Source organism: Homo sapiens, chromosome 20 (genome assembly GCF_000001405.40).
Source record: "Homo sapiens chromosome 20, GRCh38.p14 Primary Assembly".
NCBI classification, from domain to species: domain Eukaryota; kingdom Metazoa; phylum Chordata; class Mammalia; order Primates; family Hominidae; genus Homo; species Homo sapiens.
Genome location: NC_000020.11, coordinates 54,225,817 through 54,234,890, shown reverse-complemented (window position 1 = coordinate 54,234,890; position 9,074 = coordinate 54,225,817). Strand labels below are relative to the sequence as shown.

At 40.0% G+C, this 9,074-nt stretch overlaps 1 long non-coding RNA gene across 1 annotated transcript, besides 1 other annotated feature; it reads right to left on the bottom strand.

The window, feature by feature from the left end:
• Positions 1–1,979: 1,979 nt before the first annotated feature.
• LOC107985385 (uncharacterized) lies at positions 1,980–5,986 on the bottom strand. Its single transcript, XR_001754721.2, has 3 exons — positions 5,931–5,986; positions 2,481–2,570; positions 1,980–2,226 (listed from the first exon to the last, which is right to left on the bottom strand). It is a non-coding gene; the product is annotated as an uncharacterized LOC107985385 (long non-coding RNA).
• Positions 7,417–7,466: a silencer, noted in NCBI's record as "silent region_13055". NCBI's record gives its function as "represses an Ori minimal core promoter by ATAC-STARR-seq in GM12878 lymphoblastoid cells {active_cell/tissue: GM12878}" and the evidence as "EXISTENCE:reporter gene assay evidence [ECO:0000049][PMID:35858748]".

The following is a 9,074-nucleotide window of genomic DNA, read 5'->3' as shown; positions in this document are numbered from 1 at the left end:
TATCTTTAATAATAATAATAGCAGCCACATATTGAGCACTTAATATGTATTGAGTACTGTGCTAAGATATTATATATGTTGTTCCATTGTTCTTCATTGTTCTAAAAGCAAGAAAGTAAAATTGTTAAAACACAGACTCTAGAACTCAACGATCGCCTCAGGTGTGAATCTTTTTTCTGCCCCTTTCACCAGTGTAATCTTTTAAAAAATCTATATGCCTCAATTTCCCTGTCTGTAAAATGAAGGGTGATGCTACTGTCTTCATCATAAAATTATGAGAATTAAATGAGTTAATATTAATAAAGTGCTTTGTGTAGAGCTCAGCACACAGAGAGCATTGTGTGTGTGTAAGCATTTCTTATTTCTTACAATAGAACAATGATACAGGCATTGTCATATTCATTTTCCCAATAAGGAAACTAGTCTTATTTGGAAGCCCTGTTGTATCCCATTAAGATGGCCAGTTTAAAATTTAGTTCTAGCCATATGTACAAAGCTGAAACTGGATCCCTTCCTTACACCTTATACAAAAATTAATTCAAGATGGATTAAAGACTTAAATGTTAGACCTAAAGCCATAAAAACCCTAGAAGAAAACCTAGGCAATACCATTCAGGACATAGGCATGGGCAAGGACTTCATGTCTAAAACACCAAAAGCAAGGGCAACAAAAGCCAAAATTGACAAATGGGATCTAATTAAACTAAAGAGCTTCTGCACAGCAAAAGAAGCTACCATCAGAGTGAACAGGCAACCTACAGAATGGAGAAAATTTTTGCAATCTACTCATCTGACAAAGGGCTAATATCCAGAATCTACAAAGAACTCAAACAAATTTACAAGAAAAAAACAAACAACCCCATCAACAAGTGGGCAAAGGATATGAACAGACACTTCTCAAGAGAAGGCATTTATGCAGCCAACAGACACCTGAGAAAATGCTCATCATCACTGGCCATCAGAGAAATGCAAATCCAAACCACAATGAGATATCATCTCACACCAGTTAGAATGGCAATCATTAAAAAGTCAGGAAACAACAGGTGCTGGAGAGGATGGGGAGAAATAGGAACACTTTTACACTGTTGGTGGGACTGTAAACTAGTTCAACCATTGTGGAAGACAGTGTGGTGATTCCTCAGGGATCTAGAACTAGAAATACCATTTGACCCAGGAATCCCATTACTGGGTGTATACCCAAAGGATTATAAATCATTATACTATAAAGACACATTCACATGTATGTTTATTGCAACACTGTTCACAATATCAAAGACTTGGAACCAACCCAAATGCCCATCAATGATACACTGGATAAAGAAAATATGGCACATATACACCATGGAATACTATGCAGCCATAAAAAATGATGAGTTCATGTCCTTTGTAGGGACATGGATGAAGCTGGAAGCCATCATTCTCAGCAAACTATCACAAGGACAAGAAACCAAACACCGCATGTTCTCACTCATAGGTGGGAACTGAACAATGAGAACACTTGGACACAGGAAGGGGAACATCACACACCGGGGCCTGTTGTGGGGTGGGGGGAGAGGGGAGGGATAGCATTAGGAGATATACCTAATGTAAATGACGAGTTAATGGGTGCAGCACACCAACATGGCACATGTATACATATGTAACAAACCTGCACGTTGTGCATGTGTACCCTAGAACTTAAATAAATATATATATATATATATATATATATATATAAATAAAAATAAAATATAGTTCTAGTCCTAAAGCAAAATGCAGTGATACTAAGGACTCTGCCACTCTTATCTTTATATCCTGGACATTAACTAGTACATTGTTCTGCCAGTGATCACTAATAGGATGCAGATATCTACAAAGAATATAAAGGCAGCCAATGAAACAAAGAATGCCGGCCTTAGAGTCAAGAGCCCTGGACATCGTGGTAGCTATCTATTGCTGTGTATCAAATTTCCCCAAACTATGGAAATAGAGTAACTTACAGTTTCTGTGGGTCAGAAATCCATGTATCACTTAGCTGGGGGCCTCTGGCTTAGGATCTCTCACAAAGCTGCAATCAAGGTGTTAGCCAGGGTTGTGGTCTCATCTGAAGGCTCCAATTCTGGGCTCACTCATAGTTGTTGTTGGAATTCAGTCCCTCCAGGGTGACTGGGCTGAGGGCCTCTGTTCCTTCATTGCAATGGTGGATGGCCTCCCTCAGTTCCTTGTCCCATGGGCCTCTCCAGCTGGCTTTATTAGAGCAAGCATGTGAGAAGAGCCAGAGAGAGAGAGAGAGTATGTGTGTCAGAAAAAGCGAAGGCAAGCATGATGGCAGCCACAGTCTTTTGTGACTTACACAGAAGTGACATCCATCACTTCTGCTGTGTTCCATTCATCAGAAGCATGTCACTAGGTCCAGCCCACGTTCAAAGGAAGAAGACTACACAGAGCCATGAATACCAGGAGGCAGGGGTAAGTGGGAGTCAATTTAGAAGGATGCCTACCAAAGACATGGAATTGAAGTTGACTCCTTCTTGCTCTTTGGCTCTGGCAGGGTTAGACATTCTGGGCCTCAATTCTCCAGTCTGTAAAATCTGTAATAAAATTCCCCAAGATCTGTTTCAGCTCGGACATGATTCCAGGAACCCCTGAAAAGGAACACTAAGCACACCCTAAAGGAGCACTTGATTTCAAAATGGCTCAACAAGCTCACCTGCAAAAATGAAAACCATATAGTTACAATTCCCCCTTTCATTAACATCACGTCTTATAGCCGCCTGTGTCCAGGAAAGCCATAGTAAGAAAAATGCTAGAATGTGCCATTGGCTCCACGTCCTCAGCCAAGAGGAGATTTTAGAAAAAAGGGGCTGTGTGGTTATAAGCTGGTTTACAGCATTTAAGAAAAAGGGAACATGAGTTTCCAAAATTTAATTGAAATGGGGAGTTTTATTAGTTTACCCTGAAGTGTCAATAAAAATGGTGCACAGCTGATGGTTTTCCTGTGATCCCAACAGTAGCTCTGTCTTGAGGTTAATAATCTTTTTGCTTTATGGACTTATTGGCAAACTCTCTGGTGACATTTAAGTTTGTTTGGATATTTTCTTGACAATTTTTTTTTAAATCTGCCCATTACTGTTTTTTCATCTTTTGAAGCAACTTCATATTTCTTTCCTTTTGTGCAATATTCTGCAATCTCTTTTAACCCATGATAGCAACTGGGAAAGACATAAACTAAAAAAATCACATTTAAACCATTCATTGATGTTGTAAAAAAAAAAAAAAAAAAAAATCCTTGCCGTAGATTTATTTACTTTTTGTGTAGGTTAAGGAAAGGGTTTCTTCCTATAGGTTGAAGATAGAGAACACATTGTTAAATAGTGTTGTTTGGTTAAAATTCCAAAGGAAAGATGAGATTTTCCTTTTTACTATTTATTAAAGGGCTTTGTTCAACCCTCACTGGTTTCTACAAAGGCTCAGATTCCCCTGTGAGTTGGTGGTCTGTGAACTGGGTTATGAATTGGCAGTCTGGGAACTGGGGTTTGCTGATGTTTGTCATTTTTTCCTCATTGTCATGTTCTTCTTAATGTCTTTTAAATCTTTGAATGATTCAGCAACATTTAGAAATTGGGAGATTTCACACAAAAGAATTTCAGATTACTGGCTTTTCTTGGACAGTCAGAAAGCTTGGCCAGTCTTGCCCACATTCCACCATGGCAACAGCTGGCTGAAGCCACAGGGCTGTTTCCTCCTCTTGTACGACACATCTTTGCCTGTCATCACCGTCTCCCCCACTGCCAAGTACTCTAAAAACCATGATATCAACATAAAATGAAAGACAACCTAGAAATTGCTCTTCCATAAAAGCCACAGCGACTTCATTGTTGAGACAATCAGGGTGGGTATAAAACTGTGGTCACCTAGAGAGTTCTGCTCCCTCTAAGCAAGATAGCTGTGACCAGCCCACCCTGCCTCATTCACTGATGTGAGCCCCACAGTCATCAGAGACATCTGGGTGAGATCCAGCCGTAGCTCTTCTGGTCTGAACACACCTGGGGTCAGAGTAAGATTATCTCATTTGGGCTGGGAACGGTGGCTCACACCTATAATCCCAGCACTTTGGGAGGCCGAGGCAGGCTGGATCACGAGGTCAGGAGATCAAAACCATTCTGGCCAACACGGTGAAATTCCATCTCTACTAAAAATACAAAAATTAGCTGGGCATGATGGCACACACCTGTAATCCCAGCTACTCAGGAGGTTGAGGCAGGAGAATCACTTGAACCAGGGAGTCGGAGGCTGCAGTCAGCCAAGATCACGCCACTGCACTCCAGCTGGGTGACAGAGTGAGACTCCATCTCAAAAAAAAAAAAAAAATTATCTCTGCACCCATTTTCTTTGCACTGATGATGGCTTTCCTGTTGGTTTTACATTCATCTGCTCTTCTATTACTGGGTCCTGAGAGCACTTGCACCCACCATTCTTGACAGAATGGAAAGGTGTGATATTGTCTTTGTGTTGTCCTGGTTTTGCATTAATAGCAGCCATAATGCCAAAATTAACTCATATGTTACACTTACCCATTGTCTTGTGCAGCACGCAGTCATGGTTAAGTGCACAAAATGAAGATGTGTAAGTATCCTGTTGTGTCCTCCATAACATTCAGAATGTGTTCAGTATACTACTTCAGTCCCCTGTTCTTATGTGTTTGTTTGCTTTTAAAGACCTCCATAAAAGATTGCAAACACCAGTTACTAGCTAAGAGCCATTCAAATCCCATGGACAAATACTATGTAAGTTGTTTGAGGGATTTTTCTCCCCCTTCAATGCTTTTTCAAAGGCCTTCTAGCAGGGTTCAGACTCTAGGCAAACAGGTAATTTAAAACTTTGAAGGAAACATGTATTCTATGCCATGGTTGCTGCTATCAGTCTCTATATATGTTTAGATTGGCTCCAACTGACCACTTTTTAAACTGAGACTAGAATTGTGTATTTTGAAAGCCTGAAAGCATGCTTCATTATTTACATCAGGCCTATTTAAATTCTAGCATTTCATAACATTTCATCAATTACTTCTCCTCAACCCCATTCCAAATCAGATAAAATCGCACAAAATAGCATTTCTATGAATTGCAGTCTCCTATTTTTTCTGGATCATTTTATGATTTTTTGTTAAATCAAAAACGCTTCACAATCACTTGAACCCAAATGACATTTCATGCCTTTGGCTAAATCATTTATGTATGGCTATTTTTTAAAAAAGAACAAGACAAATATAATCTCATCAACAAAGAATTCATCTTCAGTTGTCTTTTTCAACCACAGCCTCTTCCACTCCCCAGAAGAAACCCACCATCCTCACCCAGCACGTGACAATCTCATCTGCATTGAGGCAGGGCCTACTTCCCTGTTAGGCACAGGAGGCAGAATGCCTAGGGCCCATGGCACCTTAAGGGCCTATGAAAATGTTTAGTTTCTTTTAAAATCAGAAAGTAGGGTGAATATAATCCAGCCTGGGTTACATTTGCCTGTCCCAAGGCAGTCATAAAATATGCTTTTTAATATTTGGCTTATGAAAGAAGGGGCTCAGGCAGGCAAAAATACTCAACACCCATGAAAATCATAGCGTGGTGCTGCATTTAGAGTAACTATGTAAGTCACTTAGAATCAATTTGAACAATAGAACTCACAATCAAAACTGCACAAATGCAATGCCACTTAGCTATATGGCCTTGAGCCACCTCGTGGAGCCTCTATTTTTATTTTCATGGGACTGATCATAATAGATGATATTTATTGAGTCATTACTATGTCTTAGGCCTTGTGGGGGAATGCTCAGCATCTTATCTCACACAGTCCTCTGGCAAAACAATGACAGACGTGTCTTGTGCAGCACTGTAAGAAATGACTAACAGTAATTGTCAGGATACCGTGAGATTGTGCAGAGTTGCACTTACCAGCAATGTAGCCTTGGGCAAGGTATTTCCCTGCTCACAGCCTTAGTTCTTAATCTAAAAAATGGGGATAATAAAAAAATCCAGGGTAAGCTCTGGGGAGGTGACTTAGTTAGGATCATGTCAAATTCTCTGCACAGTGCTGGTGATTTTGTAAATGTTCCATATAAATAGTTGTTACTATTAGCCTTCACTAAGCGGTGACCTTTCCCTACCCTCCACTGTTTCTAAACTTCATATAAGTGGAATAATACAGAATGTACTATTTTGTGTCTGGCTTTTTTACTCAACAATATGTCTGTAAGATTCAGGCTTTTTTTTTTTTTTTGCAGTCATAATGAGATGTTCTTTTTCACTGCTGTGTTGTATTCCATTGTATGACTAGACCACAATGTATGTGTCCATTCTCCTGTTGATAATATTATTGTTTCCAGGTTCTGGCTGTTCAGAATAAAACTACCCAAGTAAGTCCCCACTTATCTGCAGTTTCACATTGTGAGATTTCAGTTACCCGTAGTACAGCACAATAAAATATTATTTTAGACAAAGAGATCAGATTCACATAAATTTTATTGCAGTATGTTTTTATAATTGTTCTATTTTATTAATCTCTTACTGTGTTAATTTGTAAATTAAGCTTTATCATAGGTATGGAGATATATATATATATGAAAAAATGGTATATATATAGAGTACCATCCATGGTTTCAAGCATGGCCTGGGCACATTATCCCCCTAGGGTAAACCAGGACTATTGCATGAGCATTCTTTAATACGTATTTTGATGGACACAAGTTTTCATGTCTATTAGGTACACATCTAGGAGCAGTATATTAGTCTATTCTCACACTGCTATAAAGGACTACCTGAGACTCAGTCATTTATGAAGAAAAGAGGTTTAATTGACTCACAGTTCTGCAGGCTTAACAGGAAGCATGACCTGGAGGCCTCAGGAAACTTACAATCATGGCAGAAGGCGAAGAGGAAGTAAGCACATCTTACCATGGGTGACTAGGAGAGACAGACAGCAAAGGGGGAAGTGCAACACACTTTGAAACCATCAGATTTCACGAGAACTCACTATCACAAGAACAGCAAGAGGGAAATCTGCCCCCATGATCCAATCACCTTCTACCCTATCCCTCCCCCAACGTTCGGAATTACGATTCAACATGAGATTTGGGTGGGGACACAAAGCCAAACCATATCAAGCAGAACTGTTGGATTCCAGTGTAGATTGAGCACTGTCGTGTGCTTGATTTCATGGTAGGCAGGGGCTGGGAAGATGGGAATAAGCAAAGCATTATCATGGTTCCTGATTTCAGTCTAATGAGGAAGACAAGTCAATAATTTGCAATGATCAATATAAATGTAATAGCTGTTCTTGCAACAAAGGAGAAGCATGTGGAACTATGAAAGTATATCTGGGGCTTTGACCTGGTAAGGATGCAGGTTCTATGACCAAAGGGTGCATAATAAACCTGGGGAACTGGCATAAGGCTGGTGTGGTTGGTGTGGAGAGCAAAGGGGAAGTGGAAAAGTAGATAGGGTTCAGACCAAGCAGGCTGTGTCAGGTGTTTTCATTTTCACTACTCTCACCAAGGGGGAGAACATTAATTTTTTTGGGGGGAGGGGGGAGGAGGTGGTTATCAAAGAAAGAGTAACATAATTAGATTTGCAGTCTGAGAAAGATTATCTGGCTACAAAAATGGATTGAAGGGGACGTGTGTGAGTAAGAATGGAGGCTGGGAGACCCATCAGAAGACACCAGCAATAGTCCAAATAAACACTCACTGCCTCTTAGCCCAAGGTGGTAGCGACAAGGATGGGAGAGGTGAAGCAGACCAAGATTCTTGGACATAAGTTTCATATTTTTGCATGAGTGTAGCAGTTCTTATGCCACTATCAGCTACTATAATTTGGACTTTATAAGTTTGAGTCAAATGATTTAAAACAATTATTAATAGATTATTAATTAACTGCAAGTCCTCTTCAGGTCAATTATTTTCCATCAGTATCACACCCTGAGAAAAGTTTAATTCAGTTTTCTAGTACACTTGCTCATCTGTGTTACTATAGGTTTTATCGAACTCTACCAATAATTCCAGCGTTACTCCAAGTTACAATAAGATTGTGAATGTCAGAGGTATTATTACAAAATTAATCAGAATTTATGGCTGTGGTGTTCATTGTCCCTTCCCAATAGAACCTATCCCTCCCCAATACTTTTCTTTCTTCCTTTCCTTTCCTTTTATAATTTTTATTTTTTGAAACAGGGTCTTGCTCTGTCACCCAGGCTGAGTGCAATGGCATGATCGTGGCTCACTGCAGCTTCGACCTCCTGGGCTCAATCAGTCCTCCTGCCTCAGTCTTCCTAGTAGCTGGGACCACAGGCATGTACCACACATCCAGCTAATTTTTGTGTTTTTTGTACAGATAAGTCTTCACCATGTTGCCCAGGCTGGTCTTGAGCTCCTAAACTCAAGTGATCTACCCACCCCTAGCCTCCATACTCCATATGGTGTATGGTGGCTCACCAAGCCTGGCCCCCAATATTATTGTGCACAGTGGTCAAGTTCAGAATTCCAGGTGTTCTGTGGGTATAATCTGATACCTTTGCTATCTTATAGGACTGAATTAAAATGGGTTCCTAGGAAGAAGGTCTTTTAATTTAATTCATAGACAAAGGCCATCATTATTCTGCTCTCTAATTCCTATTTGAAGAGAAATTCTGAGTTTGAAGTGACCTATGGACTGTCCTTGGATCTGGGAAGATTGTAAGAAGATTCTTCAATATTGCAATAGAATGGTTGGGAGGACAGATTGGAAGCCCCACTGTTTGGGTTTGAGTTCTGGCTCCTCACTTAGGGGCCTTGGAACTTTGGTCTGGGCTTCTGTTTCCTCATCTGTAAATGGACATGATGATAATACTAGTTTGTACCTTGTAATGATTAATGTATGTGAATACTTACCTAATGCCTAGCTCAGGGTACATAAGATATCTAATGCCTAGCTCAGGGTACATCTGTGGATGTTGGCTGCGTATTATCGGCCTCTTTCTAAATTATTTCCCTTGGATTTAGGTTAACTGTTTAATTGCTACAAGAATTGGCCATATGAATTTTGCTCTTGCCTTTGCTTTGAAGT